At 38.3% G+C, this 21081-nt stretch overlaps 1 protein-coding gene across 2 annotated transcripts in view, besides 1 other annotated feature; it reads right to left on the bottom strand.

The window, feature by feature from the left end:
• Positions 1–21081, bottom strand: part of RLF (RLF zinc finger) — a 79535-nt gene that overhangs the window by 40318 nt on the left and 18136 nt on the right. The window contains exons 2-4 of one of the 2 annotated variants that reach the window (NM_012421.4): positions 11395–11549; positions 9751–9832; positions 4840–4972 (exon numbers count right to left, since the gene is read on the bottom strand). In NM_012421.4, coding sequence (NP_036553.2) covers positions 4840–4972; positions 9751–9832; positions 11395–11549 — 370 coding nt within the window. Of the gene's footprint in view, positions 1–4839; positions 4973–9750; positions 9833–11394; positions 11550–21081 lie in introns of those variants that run through there. The other variant, XM_047427055.1, reaches the window with a different exon arrangement.
• Positions 13869–14058: a silencer, noted in NCBI's record as "silent region_722". NCBI's record gives its function as "represses an Ori minimal core promoter by ATAC-STARR-seq in GM12878 lymphoblastoid cells {active_cell/tissue: GM12878}" and the evidence as "EXISTENCE:reporter gene assay evidence [ECO:0000049][PMID:35858748]".

Here is a 21081-nt window from a genome sequence, read left to right as displayed (position 1 = left end):
AAGACATTTTCTTTTGCCACTTAATATATGATACAGGTTATTCTATCATCTGTGCAGTTAGAGCTATCTTCTTATTTTTAACAACTGAATAGCATTATGTGGTATGGATGTGCTATAATTTATTTAACCAATCCCCTACTGATACACTTGCAGGCTGTTTCCAATCTCTGTCAATCATCAATAATGCTGCAACTTACAACCCTATATACAGGTAATCTGAAACATGTGAATAAATCTACACAACAAATTCCTAGATGCGGAATTGCTAAATTAAAGGCTCTGTTCATTTGTAATACTGACTCATACTGCCAAACTGCTCTCCAAAAATTGTACCAATTTATATTCCCATCAGCAATATGTAAGTGCCCATTTCCTAAGGCACTTCAAAAAGTTCTGGATTCCAGAGCTCCAACTCTGGAGATTATGATTTAGCAAGTGGAGTCTGGACCTTGGGATGTATGTTTTTTGGTTTTAAATTCCATAGATACTCTAATATGTAGTCAAGGTCAAAAAGCATGGAGGGAAAACAGGTCACAATCACTTGGACTTTTCCATTTTAGTCCCACAGTTACTAAATTCCACAAGATGAACTCACGGTCATACCCTTCACTCACATAGCTCCTTATTCCCTACTTCTATTTTCAGCAATGATATTCTCTCAATTATACAACAATAAAATTTTGGAATTATCTTTCCTTGATACTTCCTTTCCTCAAGGAAATCAACTTAGTTATTATGTCCTAGTAATTCTTTTCTAATTATCTCCAATCTAAATCATGCCTATTATTTCCTGTCACGTCTCCCCTATATCCTATTCTGCCTGCCTAACATCAGATTCTGCTCTATTTACCTGCCATATGAGGTTGTAAGCAATTCTGCAAATCCAACAGGAAGCAACATACCTGATAACAGGCATATTACCTACACAACCTATCGCCTTGCAAATTCCCACAGCATTTTACTTCTTTCCCCACATTTAGTTTTCTCGAAGAACAGTGATAAGGGATTATAGTGTACAAACGTTAACATTTCAGGTTTTAGAATCACTGATCTGATGTTGAAACCTGATTCTGACACACAGCTGTGAGACCCTTGGACAAATTAACTGACCTCTCTGAGACTCAAGTTTCTTCATCTGTAAAAAGGTTATACCCATCTCACATGGATGAACAAATTAAAGAAATACTAGAAATGCAGATAAGACTCACCACAAGGCCAAACACGGAGTAAATGTTTAATAGTACTTACTATTGTCTCTGATATCTCCTTTATTACACTGTCAGCAATTTGTGAACAAATATCATGTCTTGTTAGCCTTTGTATTCCCTACAGCACTAAGCACAAGGGCTTGTATATTACGGATGTTTAATTAAACCATGCACTTAGCAACTGAAGGGTCATCACTCTCCAATCAAAAACATTTTAACGTCACCTCACCTGGGCTCAAATTCTGCCTCCACAATTGTAACTACATGGTCTTGGGTATGTGTAATCTCTCACCTGTTTCATGGATTACATGAGATATGAAAGCACAAATACAGTGCCCAACACATAGCAGGCACTCTAAAAATCATAGCTATTATTTCTATGCGGTAAGCTATTTTATTCAATAATTATAACTACAGTTAAACTGCTGCTAAATCAATTTTAACATATGGCTCAATCTTGTATTTTACAAATCATTTGAAGATATCAATCTTTGAATTTCTTTATTGAAAGGAAATCTACCATATGCTTCAATATTTAAAACAATATGTCTCACTCCCAATCACAATCCTTTCTGTATCTCATTTCTTCAAACATTTCAATACAAAATTTTTTTTTAGTTTTATACCCTTCCTTCCAACTAGATTTAACAATTGAACTGGTTTGCCGCATTTCTTTGCCTTCTCTTTTTCAGAACCATTTAAAAGAAAGGTGCAGACATCATGACACTTTATCTTATACTATATACTTCATTATGTAAAAACAGTAACACTTAAGATCCAGTTGAAAAACAGCTCTGCCGGGCACAGTGGTGCACGCCTGTAATCCCAGCACTTCGGGAGGCTGAGGCAGGTGGATCATCTGCGGTCAGGAGTTCGAGACCAGCCTGACCAATATAGTGAAAACTCATTTCTAAATATAAAAAATTAGCCGGGTGTGGTGGCACATGCCTGTAATCCCAGCTACTTGGGAGGCTGAGGCAGGAGAATGACTTGAACCCAGGAGGCGGAGGTTGCAGTGAGCCGAGATCACGCCATTGCACTCCAGCCTGGGCAACAAGAGTGAAACGCTGTCTTTAAAAAAAAAAAAAAAAAAAGAGGCCGGGCGCGGTGGCTCACACCTGCAATTCCAGCACTTTGGGAAGCTGAGGGCAGATCACCTGAGGTCAGGAGTTCGAGACCAGCCTGACCAACATGGAGAAACCCCATCTCTACTAAAAATACAAAATTAGCCGGGCATGGTGGCGCATGCCTGTAATCCCAGCTATTCGAGAGGCTAAGGCAGGAGAATCGCTTAAACCCCGGAGGCAGAGGTTGCAGTGAGCTGAGATCACACCATTGCACTCCAGCCTGAGTAATAAGAGCGAAACTCCATTTCAAAAAAAAACAGAAAAGAAAAACAGCTCTTCCATGGCATCTTTACTGATCATGTCAGGTGAATATCAGGTAAAATTATCAACAATTGGCACTTATTACAGAAGACAATCAGTGAGATGAACATCACTGCTTTTTGGTATCAAATATGTTAAATATCTGGCCTGCAGGGGCAGCAGAGATATAAAGAAAGCTTTTTAATCTTTTGACCTGAAATTAGATTAAGGGCCAACTGTGAAAGGAGGCAGGCTACATGTTACCCACCACTTATACTGTGGTCCTCAACATAATTCCTTGGATATGTAGGTATCATGTACCTATTCAGAGTCTTAAAGATAGTGAGTGCTTAATTAATATTTACTGAATAAACAGGATACCAAGAATGTTAGGTAAGCAATGCTTCTCCCCATTTCTTGATGTTTTTCTATGTTAAAAATGATTAATTACTGTTAACTCCAGAGGTGGGGTGACATAGTTGATTAGTATATCAGGGGAAAATACACTAAGGATGTTTAACTCAACCCCACCCTTTTTTCCTCTTGGGCTTGGGCCTGCCTGCACAAAACATGCAATCTCCTCTGCCCCAGTCAAGACTTATCTGGATAGGATCTGCCCAATTCTGGGATGTTTCTGAAATTACCTGGTTCTAACAGCTTTTGTCAATAACAAAGGTGATACTTTAGCCTCCATCTACCTACATTTACAAGGGGATGCCGTTTATTGAGGACCTCAATGGAAAACTATAAACACCAATCTTTTTCTATTTAACAGCACTTTTCCTTATTCTTTTTTTTTCTTGTCAGTGCAACTGGTAAGCACTAGAATGATCAGAGGAAACGGATCAAGAGAAAATCTAAGTGCCTTTATGCCCATCTTCTCACTATACAGAGAGGTCCAAACACCATGTATATGGTAGGTGCTTAAGCTTGGTGAATGGATAAACTAACTGGGATATTTTAAAGGATCGACAATCAAATGGCTAGTTCTAAGACCTAAAGATATCTCAAAATGTGTAATAATTGTTCTAAAGTCTGTTTTTATAGCAAAAAATGTACTTAACAGAGTGTAATCCTTTGAACTTTCCACTAACTTGACGTAAATGAAGTTACAGTTGTTGGCTCTATCAAAGAAGATACTTTTGTGATCTAAAATGCAAATGTCAATTCAAATACATAATTTTTCTGGTCTTCGACTGACAATTTTGCAAATAAGATATTTCATTCTGGCCAGATATGGTGGTTCATGCCTGTAATCCCAGCACTTTGGGAGGCTAAGGCAGGAGGATCTCTTGAGTCTAGGAGTTCAAGACCAGCCTAGGCAACATAGTGAGACCCCCATATCTACAAAAAATAGAAAAATTAACTGTACACAGTGGCGCATGCCTGTAGTCCCAGTTACTTGTGAGGCAGAGGCAGGCAGATCACTTGAGCCTGAAAGGTAGAGGCTGCAGTGAGCCATAATTGTGCCACTCCAGCCTGGGTAGCAGAGTAAAACCTTGTCTCAAATTAAAACAAAACAAAACAAAAACAACAAAAACTTCATTCTTTGCATCTCTCTATAAAACAATGAATTCCAATTATTTCATATATATAAAATAAAAAAAACTTTTTTCATGGCCCTCAGTTGTTGCAGCCAATAAAAAAGGTATAAGCAGACCGGGCGCAGTGGCTCTTGCCTATAATCCCAGCACTTTAGGAGGCCAAGGCAGGTGGATCACAATGTCAGGAGTCCGAAACCAACCTGACCAACATGGTAACGCCTCGTCTCTACTAAAAAATACAAAACTTAGCCAGGCGTGGTGGCGCGCGCCTGTAATCCCAGCTATTCAGGAGGCTGAGGCAGAATCGCTTCAACACTGGAGGCAGAGGTTGCAGTGAGCCGAGATCCTGCCACTGCACTCCAGCCTGGGTGACAGAGCGAGACAACGTCTCGGGAAAAAAAAAAAAGAAAAGAAAAGTATAAGCAAAGCTCTACCACACACCAAAGATTACAGCAGATTATTCATTTCTGTCTCAGGAACTTTGTATGAACATTGCTACTCAATGCAAAATTTAAAAATGAGTGTAAAGGGACTTAAAACTAACAGTGCAAGAATCCTTACTTAAGCAAAACATTAAATGCTAATAGTTAATTTTTACTACTCAAAGTAAAAACAGAAAGACTAGATATATACACAAGTTAAATTCCCAAAATTTTAACCCATAATCAATTCCAACGTTCTCAGAACTAAATCCTCATCCAATATAGTCTTAAGACTTACCTTCCTCCGTTTCTACTGGCTGTTGAGACAGAATTTTAAGAAGAACTGGGTTTTTCCACACCCCTTCCTTGGTAACATGAACCAATATTTGTAGGTTATTATTCCCAAATTCCAATAATGCATCATGTGACTCCTAGAACAAGAACAGCACACCCAGAAAATAAGTTAACAATATAAAAATTAGTTTTGCCTTTTCAACATATCTGATACACCTAGGAATTGAAAGAACCTATTTGGATTTCCTGAAAATAAGTAACCAAAAAAGACTATACTCAAAGCCTTGTGAAATTCTGTTGCTGTCTTTTTTTTTTTTTTAAAGACAGAATCTTACTCTGTCACCCAGACTGGAGTGCAGTGGCGCGATCTCAGCTCACTGCAACCTCCAACCCCTGGGTTCAAGCAATTATCCTGCCTCAGCCTCCTGAGTAGCTGGAATTACAGGCGTCTGTCACCGCGCCCAGCTAATTTTTGTATTTTTAGTAGAGACAGGGTTTCACCATCTTGGCCAGGCTGGTCTTGAACTCCTGACCTCGTGATCCACCCGCCTCGGCCTCCCAAAGTGCTGGGATTATAGGTGTTGAGCCATCGCGTCCAGCCTCTGTTGCTGTTTTTAGAAAAAAACTAGGATGGGGCCAGGCACAGTGGCTCATGCCTGTGATCTCAGCACTTTGGGAGGCTGAGACGGGTGGACCATCTGAGGTCAGGAGTTCAAGACCAGCGTGGCCAAAATGACAAAACTCTGTCTCTACCAAAAATACAAAAAATTAGCCGGGCGTGGTGGCACCCACCTATAGTTCCAGCTACTCGGGAGGCTGAGGCAGGAGAATCACTTGAGCCTGGGAGGCAGAGGTTGCAGTGAGCCATGATTGTGCCACTGCGCTCCAGCCTGGGTGACAGAACAAGACTCCGTCTCATAAATAAATAAATAAATAAATAAATAAATAAATAAATAAATAACTAGGATGTTTTCACTAAGTAAAAGAGTGCCTTTAAAACGTTTTCCTGAATTCCTCCCTGGTAAAATTATCACAATTCAAGTTAGGTCCTTGCATTACTGTTGGATATTTGGAGTGCCCTACTATTAGGATCACTCATGTTACTAGCAGACTCTGAAGACTTGAATGATAGCCCTGGTGGAGGCTGATTTATTTTTTTTGTTTTGTTGGTTTTTTTTTTTTGGAGATGGAGTTTTGCTCTTGTTGGTTCAAGCGATTCTCCTGCCTCAATCTCCCAAGTAGCTGGGATTACAGGCGCCTGCCACCACGCCTGGCTAATTTTTGTATTTTTAGTAGAGACGGGGTTTTGCCACGTTGGTCCTGGCTGGTCTCGAACTCCTGACCTCAGGTGATCCACCTGCCTCAGCCTCCCAAAGTGTTGAGATTAAAGGCATGAGCCACTGTGCCCATTTAATTATTTGAAAGCCATTGGTGCCGCTTTCTTTTAAAGAATTCTGCAGTATTCACACAGGCTGCCTGTTCCTCTAACAGGAATTACAGGAGTATTACTTAGTGACACAAATCATTATATAATTGTTTAAATTCGTCTAAAAAATTGCTATTTAAATGACAGGTGGCTCTATATAAAATGTCCTGAAAAGTCTATTAACTCAGCAAACAAAATGTATTTACCAATAGTTTGTTCATTAAAGTTCTTATATTCAAGGGTGAGGGAAAAGGAGTCAGAAATGTAATTCAGTATAAATGATTACGTATATGTTTCACTGTCCTCTATTACTACTGAGTATTATTGATTATGGTGAGCTTGTTCCCATGTTCTAAAATTCTAATTTGTTTCCCTTATTTTAAACTCCTGAAATTCTCTAGGAACATAAGCTTCCATTTACGTCAACATTTCTTTGGAAAATATAAGCCAAAAATGTTCACAGGCATAAGAATATAGTTTAGTATTCACTCAAGTGAAAACTACAAGATATAAAGTCTCCCCCATCCCTTAACCTTCATGTTAAAATAGGCTTTTACTACACATATACACCCACCCACACACCCACCCAATATGTTGCATTATTTTCCACTGAGAAAGGACTTAAAATATGGAATTGATACAGAAAGTAATATTTCTAATTATTAGTTCACCAATAGCAATATTTAACAAATGCTGCAATTTTGCTTTAACAGCTTGACTTGTCCTCAGGCTTCTTTCTTCTTAACTTAGAATGACTCGCGTTTACTTTGGAGTGAGGAGAAAAAGTCCATGTGAAAAGTTAAAAATTTGAGGTGTCAGGTTTATCATATTTATAATGTCTAACTGACCTGTACCATTACACTTTAGCAGAAAATACTACCACCCACCATGATATGCAGCAACTGAAATAAAAACCACAGTTTGAGTTTCTTTTTAAAAGTTCTCTACTTTCTCATTTGTTAAAGTTCAAAATACAGTTTACTCAGAATAAGAATGGTATGTAATCCTTTGTTACCAATAGACATCTAATATAGCAAAGTTATTTTTTAAAAATAATGTTAAATCTATAAAACTACAAAAACTATGGTAGCATTTCAAGAATAATTTTAAAACTTCAATTTGTTTCTTTTTAAGGTGGAAATATCCTAGCCCAGTTCTTGAAATCTACAATACAGAAATAATAGCACAAGATGCTCTTTTTTTTTTTTTTTTTTTGCTAAGACCACTCTGCCGCCCTTTTCAAGATGTTCACTCTTGCACCATTTACAGTAAATAGCAAGACATTGGTCAATTAAAGGCACAACCACAAAACAGAATTCTAGGTGATCATCAAAACAGGAGATCTACATATGCAATCTTAGATGTATGTCCATGATTATTATGTAAAAAACCAAGTTGCAGAAAATAGGCTGTCATTTTTCATTAAAAAATCATTTGCAGAGTGTATATTTTTATGTCCATAGGAAAAAAGTTACTCAGCTGTAAATAGTAATTGAGAAATATTCTACCTGCAGCCTGCTCTGATAAAAACTATTCTCTTACCAAAAGTATCCTTAATACCATTTGCTGCCTTGTCCATTTATAATATAAAATAAGAAAACTTAAGGGCTTTTTATCTTTTGGATTTCAACAGGGATCATGTCTTAACATTTATTTGTACCCCTACTACATTTATTTACTGAACACATGTTAAAAAATATATCCTACACATCTGATAAACCTGAAAAAGCTTATGCAAGTGGAAAAAGAGGCAACTATTTTATTCAAGCAAGCTAAGAAAATAATAAAGAAATATGAGAGATTTCCCTCTAAAAAGGATAGAGGTTGAGTGTCCCTAATCCAAAAATCTGAAATCCAAAATGTTCCTCAAATCCAAAACTTTGTAAGCATCAACACGATACTCAAAAGAAATGCTCACTGGAGCATTTCGGATTTTCAGATTAGGGATGCTGAACTACTAAGTGTAATGCAAATATTCCAAAATCCAAACTACTCCTAAGCATTTGAGATATGGGATACTCAAACAGTATTAATATAGTAGTAATAGTCCTAATTAGGATTTGCCCTTCTAGGATGCCATATGCCAGAACAAAACGACTGGCAGGCTTCAGAACACAGAGTGACAAAAATCAAAGTGCTACGCATGAAAGATGATTTTAGCAGCTGTACGGATATGTGAGATATTAGGACTGCATTACAGGGCTTTAAATAGGCCAAGAACATGACAAAGAATCCTCTTCTCACTAAAGAGAACATTATATCATTTCATTTTGGGTTATGTATTCCAGAGGAAAGAAATGTTCAGATAATGAAGTGTGTCTGTTAATATGCATGTCTTTATTTGTGCCTCCATGAAACAGGTCTAAGCTGTGTCCTCAAGGAAGTAGTTAGCAAAGTAAGCTCAGGGTTTGAAATCTGTGTGTAACTTTGTCCAAGCTAATTAACCTCTCTTCACCTGTCTCCCCATTTGTAAATGGAGATTCAAATAATTCTCACACTATAAGGTTTGTAATTTGATTAGAAGATATAAAACAAGTAAAATGTAGTGTAAAGCAGTGATTGGTACATAATTAGTGATCAATAAATGAATGACTGCATGCATTTATTTTTAGAGACGAGTCCTATTATTTTAGGGATGAGCCCTGTCACCCAGGCTGGAGTGCAGTGGTGTGATCATATCTCACTGCAGCCTCGGACTCTTGGGCTTAAGAGATTCTCTTGCCTCAGCCTCCTGAGTAGCTGGGACTATAGGTATGTACCACCATGCCCGGTCTATTATTTATTATGTCTTTTTTTTTTTTTTCCGAGACAGAGTCTCACTCTGTTGCTCAGGCTGGAGTGCAGTGGTGCGATCTTGGCTCACTGCAACCTCTGCCTTCTGGGTTCAAGCGATTATCCTGCCTGAGCCTCCCAAGTAACTGGGATTACAGGTGTCCGCCACCATGCCCGGCTAATATTTGTATTTTTAGTAGAGACAGGGTTTCGGCATGTTGGCCAAGCTGGTCTCGAACTCCTGACCTCAGGTGATCCACTTGCCTTGGCCTCACAAAGTGTTGGGATTACAGCCGTGAGCTACTACACCCAGCCAGGTACAATTCTTAAAGTGTTAGGAAGAAAAAGGTGAACCTTAGATGTAATGAAATAGTGTTTTGTATATTGAAGGTTACCAATAAGTATGCTATGAAGGATCCAAATACTGTTACTTTATAATCATGTATGATTTTGATAGCTTTATGCTGTCTAAACTTTATGTTTGAATAATGAAACTTTTTTGTTGATTTCTAACTATGTAGAGGCAAACAAAACCAAATTTAAAAAACCCATTTTTAATACATCCCCTTCATGTGAAGGGCCTTTTTATCATTTCATGACCTAATATCAATATATAATAAACTTGTTTTTGTTCTAAGGTTCCAATTTTAGTTTGCTGGGAGTAATTAATTAGGTGTCTTGGATACAGAAAACTTTTCTGAGTTAAAATCAACTCACCTGTAGAGACTGAAGGAATGGTAGCCAGACTTCACATGGCAGTTCACTTTCAGACACTGAAAGCAGTAATTCGAAACAACTCCTACAATAAAAATGAGTAAGTATATAAAGGTGGTTATAGTAATAATTAAGTAGAGTATGACAGCAATACTAAAAATCTATTTTACATTTGTTTAGGCTATTTTAAATGTTTTTACTCTTCAAAATTTGCTTCAGAGTTGTTATATTGACTGTTCAATTTAAAAAGGAGGAAAAAAAGAAAGACCACAAGGCTTTATATTTACATTGTTGCTTTAGTACATTTGGTAAGAATATAATAAGCTCTTTAGAAATCACATTCCAAGCAGTTTTATTTTGTTTATTTGGGTGTGAAGAGGCACCCATATAGGACAATTCTAATTCCAGTAGACAAAAATGGGAGCTCATACTACTGTCAATTCAGCTGATAAAATGATAAATGATAAATATATGTAACTGTTATCTATAGGTTTCTGTCACTTGCAGAGGAAGCAGGAAGACTGGCAAAGTCGTTTCTTTACCTGTAAAAAAAACCAAGCAAAAGAGTTTCCTTTTTCTGACTATTATCCAGAAGACACAGAAAAGAAATAACAGGAAGATTTTTTTGAAAAAAGAAATGCACTACAACTTGAATAATGAGCAACTCAAAATACCAATGAATCAACATCTCTCTAAAACCCTACAGAATAATCCTTTACCCCTTAGGGATTACAATAGGTAAAACAGAAACTAGGACTTGGTAGAAGGAAAAATATGATCATAAAACCAGGAATGCTGGTCTTCCATAAAGGGCCACTGGAAAATAGGAAGGAAAACAGGTGAGGCTAGAAAAAAAATAAAATAAACCATCTAGACTAGAAGTCATCTCACTAAACAATCTGTAAGTTGAACAAGGTGATGCCCAGCTAAAACTGATTGGCTGTTGTATCTTTTCAATTTGCAGATGAAAATTACAATAAAGGTGTAATTTTGTCTGCTACTATGCAGCTAAATATTAAAATAACAGCTAAATCACGTTCTTTTTTTTTTGTTGTTGAGACAGTCTCCACTCCACCACCCAGGCTGGAGTGCAGTGGCGCCATCTTGGCTCACTGCAACCTCCACCTCCCAGGTTCAAGCGATTCTCGTGCCTCAGCCTCTTCCCAAAGTGCTGGGATTACAGGCGTGCGCCACCATGCCCGCGCTAAATCATGATCTCTTTCTTAGGATGGTAATCTTATACTGTACCCTGATATTTTTTGCTAATAAAATTATTCTTAGTTCAAATATAATCAAATTGCAGAATTTCATGTTGTTTTTGCCAAGATGTTCTTCAAGGACTACCAGTTTCCAGGTATTCTGTCATTTAAATCAATCTATACCTAAGGGATAGAAATATATCATTCTCAGATTCCAAGCCTGAATAGGAAAAGAGACTCTAGAGGCAAGTTAAAGATGATGTTGCTTGGCTGGAGCTTCACTTGGACTATATCTCCTGGGAACGTGAGTAGGAAGGAAATTTCATTCAATGGTATGACTCTAATGGTGCTCTGAAGAATAAATGTGATGCCACTGTAAAGAGAAACCAGGCAAACAACACGACCAATGGTACTCAATTTTAAGAGTGATTTAAGTTCTCAAACTTACAGTACTAATCTGCCAAGCACTAAGAGGACATCTTCACATTCAGTAGTTAAGTATGGACGTGCACTGGCAAAGCTTTGGATGGCAAGTCGATATACCTCCAGAAGATACACAATATGTTCTGATGCATTCTTGTTGCTTGCATATTGCAATAAGGTCTACAAAATAAAATTAAAAATTATTTACAAATAAAAATAATGAAACAGATTGTCTTTGTCCTCAAACACACCACATAGCTCTCCCATTTTTTTTCTAACAGATGCATATACCTTTTATTTGCCTTTTAAGGCTCTGGTTTGTTTAGAAGCTTCTATTTTCATCACTTAATGAATGATTTCTGCTGAGTTAAAGAAATGGCAGAACTACTCTTTTGATGTCAGAATAATTCTAAGAGTAGAGCCATAAAATGTCTAGTTGTTCTCACTATAGGTCTGGAGTTGCCATCTCTATAATTCAATAATGAGTTTTCAACCATGTGCCAAGCACTGGGTACATAAGAATAAGACTATGATCCCTGCCTTCTACAACAAGAGATGAATTATTCCTGAATATGACTCTCAGTTCTACAGCACCATAAAATCCTTTTTTTTTTTTCTGGACACATGGAATTGATTAGGCTTCCAAGGGTTAATTTATGCTAACTAATTTCTAAAAGGTTAATGTTATATTGATATTTTTATTTTTCACTAGCCCTGTATCCTCAACAAAATATATATTTATTTTTTATAAAGTTTATGAAGAAAATTACCATATAGGCCAAATGCCAGTTTATTTGGTTACAATGGGGGGAATAGTCCTCTTACCACACAGGGTACCCTATTCCTCATACTGTGGCATCTGAGAAGTTATCTGGTGAGTATTGAATCTAAACCAAAAGAAAATGAAACCACAATAAAGCCTGATAAATTATATGTGTCCTATCACTAAAAATTTGTCCAAATGATGGTGGAAAGCTGGCTTATGTTCTCCCTGGACAGTGTTGAAAAATCACTGCCAAATTCATGTTTGGGGACTCTCCTTCTGAGTTCCATGGAGTTGTTTTCTCTCTTGTTCATATATATCTTCCTTCTGACAACTGATTAGGTTTTGCCTATTCTTAATTGGTATATCTAGTTAAGACGTGAAGTATGTAGTACAGTCTAACATAAGCAGGATACAGCCTTCTCCCTGGAATACACATTCTGTCTGACTGGGCTAGGGAGTTCCTAATAGGCTTTTGGTTGGGGATACTTCTATAGGCAAGTCTTATTTTCAGAGGATAGCTTTAACATGAGTGAAATACATCTTATCTGAATTCATTACCCTAGAATAATGTCTTCAAACATTCCTAACTTCCTGTCTTTGATTTTTCTGCCTAAACAACTACAAATAACTACAATAGTAGCGCAGGATTCTGCTGGATTTTCTGCAGCTTTAGTTTCCACACAAATGGTCCCTGTATGAGTTCTGGTAACTGACTGTTAGCATCATCTTGATTACTTTAACATTTAAAAAAAGAGAGAGAGAGAAACAACTTACAAGGAAATATACCATAGACCATTATACCATATACAGTAAAAGTTCCCTTAACTAATATATTGCATTATCTGATCTTTGCATACCTGAATCATTACAGTCAGTTGAGCTATTTTTAGTATACCGACCTACTCAATTAAGTATCTTGCTACTTGGTCACAGTCACTTTAGATAAATGCCCTTCTGTAATTTCAGAAAAGCAACATGTCACCACTTAATCAAATCCCTAATTTTAATAAAATAAAAAAACTGAGTAACATTATAAAACTGACCCCTAAGCAATCCTGCTTCCCAGCTGAATTAGTAGAGAAAGAATGCAGAATGGGTGTCTGTTACATAACTAAGATTTCACCTAATTTATTAAAATCAGCCAGGTGCTGTGGCTCACGCCTGTAATCCCAGCACTTTGGGAGGCCGAGGCGGACGGATCACAAAGTCAAGAGATCGAGACCATCCTGGCCAACATGGGTGAAACCCCGTCTCTAAAAATACAAATATTAGAGATGGGCGTGGTGGCGCGCGCTTGTAGTCCCAGCTGCTCAGGAGGCTGAGGCAGGAAAATCGCTTGAACCTGGGAGGCGGAGGTTGCAGTGAGCCAAGATTGCGCCACTGCACTCCAGCCTGGCGACACAGCAAGACTGTCTCAAAAAAAAAAACCAAAAAACAAAAAACAAAGAAATTTATTAAAATCTATGTTACAAAAAAATTCTGGTTTAGGTCAGTAAGTTACTTACTGTCTGCATTGGCTAATCTAAGAATTAAGGAGTTTCAAAAATTTATATTTAGTGCCAGATTTATGTTCCTTAAAGTCAGACATTATGTCTCATCAATCCTTATAGGCCTACCACTCCTCTACCCACTTCCACCCCCACAGGACATTCTCAAGTCTCACTAAATGTCTGCTGAATACATTCACCATTTTATTCATTTGACAAATATTTTTCAATAGATTATCACACATAAAGTGCTAGATGCAGTGGGGGCGGGCAGACATGTGGCCTATCCTCACAGAGCTTTCAGAATGAGTCAATACAACATGATGGCTGAAACCACACATGCAAATTAACCAACTGCTAACTAAAGTATGCAAAGAGAAGGACAGAGTGCATACAGATGGGGTTAGTCTTTCCACAATCCACCTGTCCACTTAGAACGCTCTTGCCACCAATCTAATAGCTTCTGACAGACATTCCACCAGGACTTCTGTAAGCTACACAATTTCAAAGATTCAATACTCTTGAGGAACTTCCAGTTTGCTCTATACTAATTTATACTTTTTATATTCCTAAATCTTTACCCCCTCATGTGTTGGTTCAAATTAAGTAGTGAGATCTCTTATACCCACTATAAGCATACTCTGGGTATGTGAAGAATGGCTGGAATAATCAATCTTCTTCATTATCACTTTTTTTTTAAATTGAGATAGAGTCTCATTCTATCACTGCTGGTGATCCTCCCACTTCAGCCTCCCAAGTAGCTGGGACTACAGGCATGAACCACTGTGGCTAGCCAGGCATTTTCTTTCTTTCTTTTTGTTTTTTTAATCAAGTCTCACTCTGTCACCCAGGTTGGGGTGCGGTGGTGAAATCTCGGCTCACTGCAACCTTCACCTCCCAGATTCAAGTGGATCCTTTCACCTCAGGCTCCTGAGTAGCTGGGATTACAACTGTGCGCCACCAGGCTCGGTTAATTTTCCTGTTTTTAGTAGAGATGGGGTTTCACCATTTTGGCCAGGCTGGTCTCGAACTCTTGACCTCAAGTGATCCGCCTGCCTTGGCCTCCCCAAGTGCTGGGATTACAGGCAAAAGCCACCTCGCATCCAGCCTTTGTGGTTTTTTTTTTTTTTTTTTTTTTGCTTTTTTTTTTTTTTTGAGACAGTCTCACTCTGTCAGCCCAGGCTAGAGTGCAGTGGCACGATCTTGGCTCACTGCAAGCTCCACCTCCCAGGTTCACGCCATTCTCCTGCCTCAGCCTCCCAAGTAGCTGGGACTACAGGCACCCGCCACCATGCCCGGCTAATTTTTTTTTTTTTTTTTTTTTTGTATTTTTAGTAGAGACGGGGTTTCACCGTGTTAGCCAGGATGGTCTCGAGCTCCTGACCTCGTGACCTGCCCGCCTCGGCCTCCCAAAGTGCTGGGAGCCACTGCGCCCGGCTTTTTTTTTTTTTTTTTTTTTTTTTTAATGCAAGATTAGGTTGAAAGGATTACAGCCATCCAAATAACAGGATGGCTGTAATCCTTTCAACCTAATCTTGCATTTAAAAAACTGGACTAGGCAAGGTGGCTCACGCCTGTAATCCCAGCACTTTGGGAGGCCGAGGCAGGTGTATCACTTGAGGTCAGGAGTTCAGACCAGCCTGGCCAACATGGTGAAACCCTGTCTCTACTAAAAATACAGAAAGTAGCCGGGCGTGGTGGCGCATGCCTCTAGTCCCAGCTACTTGGGAGGCTGAGGCTGGAGAATTGCTTGAACCCGGCTAGAGTTCAGTGGTTCAATCACAGCTCACTATAACCTCAAACTCCTAGGCTCAAGTGATCCTCTCTCCCACCCACCTCAGCCTCCTGAGTAGCTAGGACTGGAGAAGTGCATCACCATGCCCAGCCAATTAAAAAAAACTTTTTTTTTGTAGGGACAGGGTCTCTTTGCTGCCCAGTCTGGTCTCAAATTCCTGGGCCTCAAGTGGTCCTCCCACCTTGGCCTCTCAAAGTGCTGGGATTACAGGTGTGAGCCACTGTACCCAGCCACGGTCTCTTATTTTTCTTTAGGAACTGAAATCACAACTGAAGAGAAAAGGGGCAATAAATGATAAAGATGACCTCCTAAAGTTCATTCTACAGTGACCAAATTAATGACCTCTCTCTTTTGTTTCAGTAAACTCATTCCACAAATACCTACTATTTTGTACTGTGCTGGGAAGTAAGGATGGAGACTCTATTCCTGCCCTTGAAAGGCTATGATATATACTAAGGGGTCAGATATATAAGTAAAAAATTAGCTCACTTACGCACCATATTTGACTATTCGGTGCTCTCATTCACATCCCAAGCAGATTACCCTCAAATTACTCTCTCAAGTCCTTGCTATATACCTCAACTGCCTATTACATATTTCCATCTGGATGTCCTATTCAAATCTCAAACTCAGCATGTCCAAAACCAAACATCTTCCCCAGCAAATATGCTCTTCCTCCTATGTTCCATCTGCCTCCTTTCAGGAGCCAGAGCTAAAAAACTATCTTTGAAACCACCACACCAAAGTTTGTTGATTCTATCTCAGAAATATCTTTGTCTCCTGTCCCTATGCTTTATCTCTGTAGCCATTCACCTAAACCAGGCCCCCAATATCCCTCATCTAGACTGCTACATTGGTTCACTTCTCTAGGCTAAATAACCTCTAGTTCTGTATATGTGTTATAATCACGTATGTCTGTACATTGAAAAAATTAATGTCCAAGGGGAAAATGACTAGAAGAAATTAACTAAAATGCTTACATGGTTAGCACTGAGGTAGCAGGAATATGAGCAATTTTTGTCATCTTTATACTTTTCTAAACTTCTCAAATTTTCTTTAATAAGCATGACTACATTTTCAAAGCAAAAAAAATCTCCCCTCACCCTTAATTCTCTCTACATTTCTCACTACATGGTTTCAAGGAGCTTGGCAGCATTCTGACTATTCCTTGAAACTATCAAGAAAGGAGAATTTCTTTCAGGATGGTCACATTTAATGTTTAAAGAATACATTCCAATTTAAATTTCACATAGTTCAGGATTAACTTTCCTAATGAAATAATTATATTTACTGAGCACATAGTATGGGTTAGGCACTTCCTAAGAGCTTTACGGCCACTAAACTTATTTAATATGCACAACTCCATGAGCTAGGAGTTATTATCAGCCCATTTCAAAAATGAGGAGCCACTGTCAAGTTGTCTTTTGGGAATTTTTTTTTTTTTTAAATGAGGAAACATGAGAGATTGAATTATTTGGGCAAAGTCATCCAATAGGTGTTAGATTCAGGATTTGAACTAGAGCCATCTGGCTCCTCAGCCCACACTTAATCACCACGCTTTCTTTATGCCTTTTCACAATTCAACTATTTTAAGTGTGCTTTTAAATTCTGCCCCCTCACCCCCAGCATCAGCTTTAATATTTTGTAGCAAGTTGTGTCATGGTCATCATTTGGCCTTCTTCCCGAGTTTACAACATCTAACTTCCATTCTAAAGTGAATGCTTCTGGGGAATGTTTTCAAGCAATGGCACTGACAGATATCCTGTACTTCAGAATGCTGGTGGGTCACAAAAAACTGACAAAAGATAGCTAGTGTTTCTTTTTAAAGCTGTATGTTCTATGGCAATAGGAAGTTATGTGTTTTCTAATAGAGAGGGGTTTGGATTATTTCAAATTTTGCACATAAAGCAAGAAACTTTTATTTAAATTTCTCAGCATGTGAAATTCCCAGAATTATACATTTCAGTAAAATGTGACTGCACTACAAGAGGTAGACTTCCAGGAGAGGGCAGCACTTGAGATGGATCTCTGAAGTACGAGCAAAAGTGAGGGGAACAGGAGGACTCCAAAGAAAGAACTTGAAAAAAGTCAGAAAAGATGAATAGACAACTAGATGGCTAGAACAGATCAGAGTAAATGCTGAAGAGACTTAAATGTCAGCATGAGGAAGCACCACCTCTTGATGGAGGTTTGCCATCAAGAGACTAAGCTGAGAGTGAGATGAAATGAAATGGGGAGAGAACAGCTGGCTGCTTACAACCAGAAAGTTAAGTGGCTAGAGTAAATTAAACCCCCTAAGTCTTTAACATATGCTGCCACTATGCCCCCTGCCTCATTTTCTATATTGGTTATAGGTGGTTTTCTTAAAGCCAGTGATATGACTAACTTATTACTCTATCTATCTATCTATCTATCTATCTATCTATCTATCTACCTATCTATCTGTCTATACTTTTTTCATCCATCCTGATTAAACTTCACTGGATTCAGTCCATCAATCTCAGCCTACTAAGATTATTTTTAGATACCGATTCTGCCACAGGATTTAACTATGCTTTCTAGTTTTATTTCATTTTCAATTTTCAAAAATGCCTTTTACTGTCTTGTCATAAAAGTAACATAACATTGTTACATACATATGCAAAAATAAAAATTTAATAACCCATAATACCACCACCCAGAAACAGACCACTATTAACAGGCAATACATTAAGCTTGAGGGGTTTTCCTTTACTTTTCTTTTCTTTTTTTTTAGAGACGGAGTCTCCCTCTGTCACCAGGCTGGAGTGCAGTGGCGCAATCTGCGCTCACTGCAACCTCCCCCTCCCAGGTTCAAGAGACTCTCCTGCCTCAGCCTCCTAAGTAGCTGGGATTACAGGCGCCCGCCACCATGCCTGGCTAATTTTTTGTATTTTTAGTAGAGACGGGGGTTTCACCATGTTGGCCAGGATGGTCTCGATCTCTTGACCTCGTGATCTGCTCACCTCGGGCTCCCAAAGTGCTGGAATTACAGGCATGAGCCACCATGCCGGCCGCTTGAGGGTTTTTTTAAATGCCTAAACCGAACATTTTAATAGAATCATGCTATAACGTCTTTCCATTTATTGTAAAGTTTTCTTCAATGTCAGTGTTTTTATGGCTGCACAACTTTGTGTGGATACAATTTATTACCCAATTATTTATTTATGGACATAATGTCTTCTAACTTTGCAGTATTATATATAAAATATTAAGATGAACACCCCTCTAACACTAAAATGAGCACCCCTTATCTAACTTTTCCCATGTATCCATGACAATTTTCTTATAATAATGTCCTATAAATGGAATTGCTGGGTGGATAATTTTTAAGGCTTTACACAGTGTCAAATTCTGCTCCGGAAAATTTGTTCCAATGTACATTCCTATTATTGGTGTTACAGGGTGACAGACTGAGGAGCTGTAACAATTATTAGATATTATAATTTTAATATAACTTGTGAGGATCAGCTTAATAGAAGAAATACTTTGTTTATTCAATTTACATTCTTTTAATCACTGTTGCAGTTCAAGAAAATTTTTCATATATTCCTTTAATAATCTAAACACCTAATTACTACAGAGTTATCCATAAAAGACACACAGAACAATGGAATCTAACAGAAAGCCAAGAAATAAATCCTTGTATATGTGGTCAAATGAAAATGATTTTCACCTAGGATGCCAAGACCATTCAAAGGGAAAAAGACAGCATTTTCTTTTCTTTTCTTTTCTTTTTGAGATGGAGTCTCGCTCTGCTGCCCAGGCTGGAGTGCGGTGGTGCCATCTCGGCTCAATGCAACCTCCACCTCCCAGGTTCAAGCGATTCTCCTGTCTCGTTCTCCCAAGTACCTGGGACTACAGGCATGAGCCACCACACCTGGCTAATTTTTGTATTTTTAGTAGAGATGGGGTTTCGCCATATTGGCCAGGCTGGTCTCAAACTCCTGACCTCAAGTAATCCATCCACCTTGGCCTCCCAAAGTGCTGGGATTACAGGCATGAGCCACTGCAGCTGGCCAAAGACAGCCTTTTCATTCAACAATGTTAGGAAAACCAAATATTCACATACAATAGACTGAAGCTGGACCTTACCTTACACCATATACATAAACCAACTTGAAATGGATCAAAGATCTAAACATATGAACTAAAATGATAAAACTTCAGGAGAAAACATAGATAAATAGCTTCATTACATTGGATTTGGCAACTATTTTTTGACTATGATACCAAAAGCACAAGCAACACAAAAATATATAAACTGGACTTCATCAAAATTAAAAACTTCTGTGCATCAAAGGACACTATCAAGAGAGTAAAAAGGAAACCCATAAAATGGGAGAAAATACAGCAAATCTTATATCTGTTGATGGATTAATATCTAAACACATAAAGACCTCCTAAAACTCAACAACACAAAACAAACAAGCCAATTAAAAATTGGGCAGAAGACTTGAAAAGACATTTCTCCAAGGAAGACATACAAATGGCCAATAAGCACATGAAAAGATATGAAACACCACTAATTAGGGAAATCCAAATGAAAACCACAATGAGATACGACTTCGCACCCATTAGGATTGACTATCATGTAAAATAAAAGAGGTCAGACCAAGTGGCTCACACCTGTAATCTCAGCACGTTGGGAAGCCAAGGCAGGTTGATCACTTGTGGTCAGGAGTTCGAGACCAGCCTGGCCAACATGGTGAAACCCTGTCTCTACTGAAAAAAATACAAAAATTAGCTAGGCGTGGTGGCGGGCGCCTATAATCCCAGCCACTCAGGAGGCTGAGGCAGGAGAATCACTTGATTCCAGGAGGCAGAGGTTACAATGAGTCAAGATCATGTGACTGCACTCCAGCCTGGGTGACAAAGCAAGACCCTGTCTCAAAAAAAAGAAAAGAAAAGTAAAGAACAGAAAAAGTGTTAGCAAGGGTGTGGAGAAATAGGAACCCCTGTGCATTGCTGGTAGAAATGTAAAATGCTGCAGTGGTTTGGAAAATGGTATGGTGGTTCCTCCAAAAATTAAACAGAAATACCATATGATCCAACAATTTCATTTCAGTGTACACATCCCAAAGAAGTGACAGCAGATCTTGAAGAGGTATTTGTACACGCGTGTTCACAGCAGCATTATTTACAATAGCCAAAAGGAGGAAGAAATCCAAGTGTTCATGAACAGATGAACAAAAGTGATATATCCATAAAATGGAGTATTATTCAGTCTTAAAGGGGAAGAAAATTCTGACATGATACAACATGATATATCTTGAGGACACTATATTAAGTGAAATATGGCAGTCACAACAAGACAAATACTGTACAATTTCACTTATATGAGGTACCTAAGAGTAGTCAAATTCATAGAGACAGATAGTAGAATGATGGTTGCCAGAAGGTGAAGAAAAAAGGGAATGGGGAGTTAGTATTTAATGGGTACATACTTTCACTTTGGGAAGATGACAAAGTTCTGGAGATGGATGGATGGATGGAGGTAATGGTTGCACAACAATGTGAATGTACTTAATGCCACTAAGTTGTACTCTCAAAAATGGTTAAGATGGCAAATTCTATGTTACGTATACTTTACCACAATAAAAGTACCAAAAAAAAAAAAAAGAGTTAACTTTAAGTCTAGAGACT

This window comes from Homo sapiens, chromosome 1 (genome assembly GCF_000001405.40).
Source record: "Homo sapiens chromosome 1, GRCh38.p14 Primary Assembly".
NCBI classification, from domain to species: domain Eukaryota; kingdom Metazoa; phylum Chordata; class Mammalia; order Primates; family Hominidae; genus Homo; species Homo sapiens.
The sequence above is the reverse complement of the archived record's forward strand: the minus strand, read 5'-3'. Positions and strand labels throughout refer to the sequence as shown.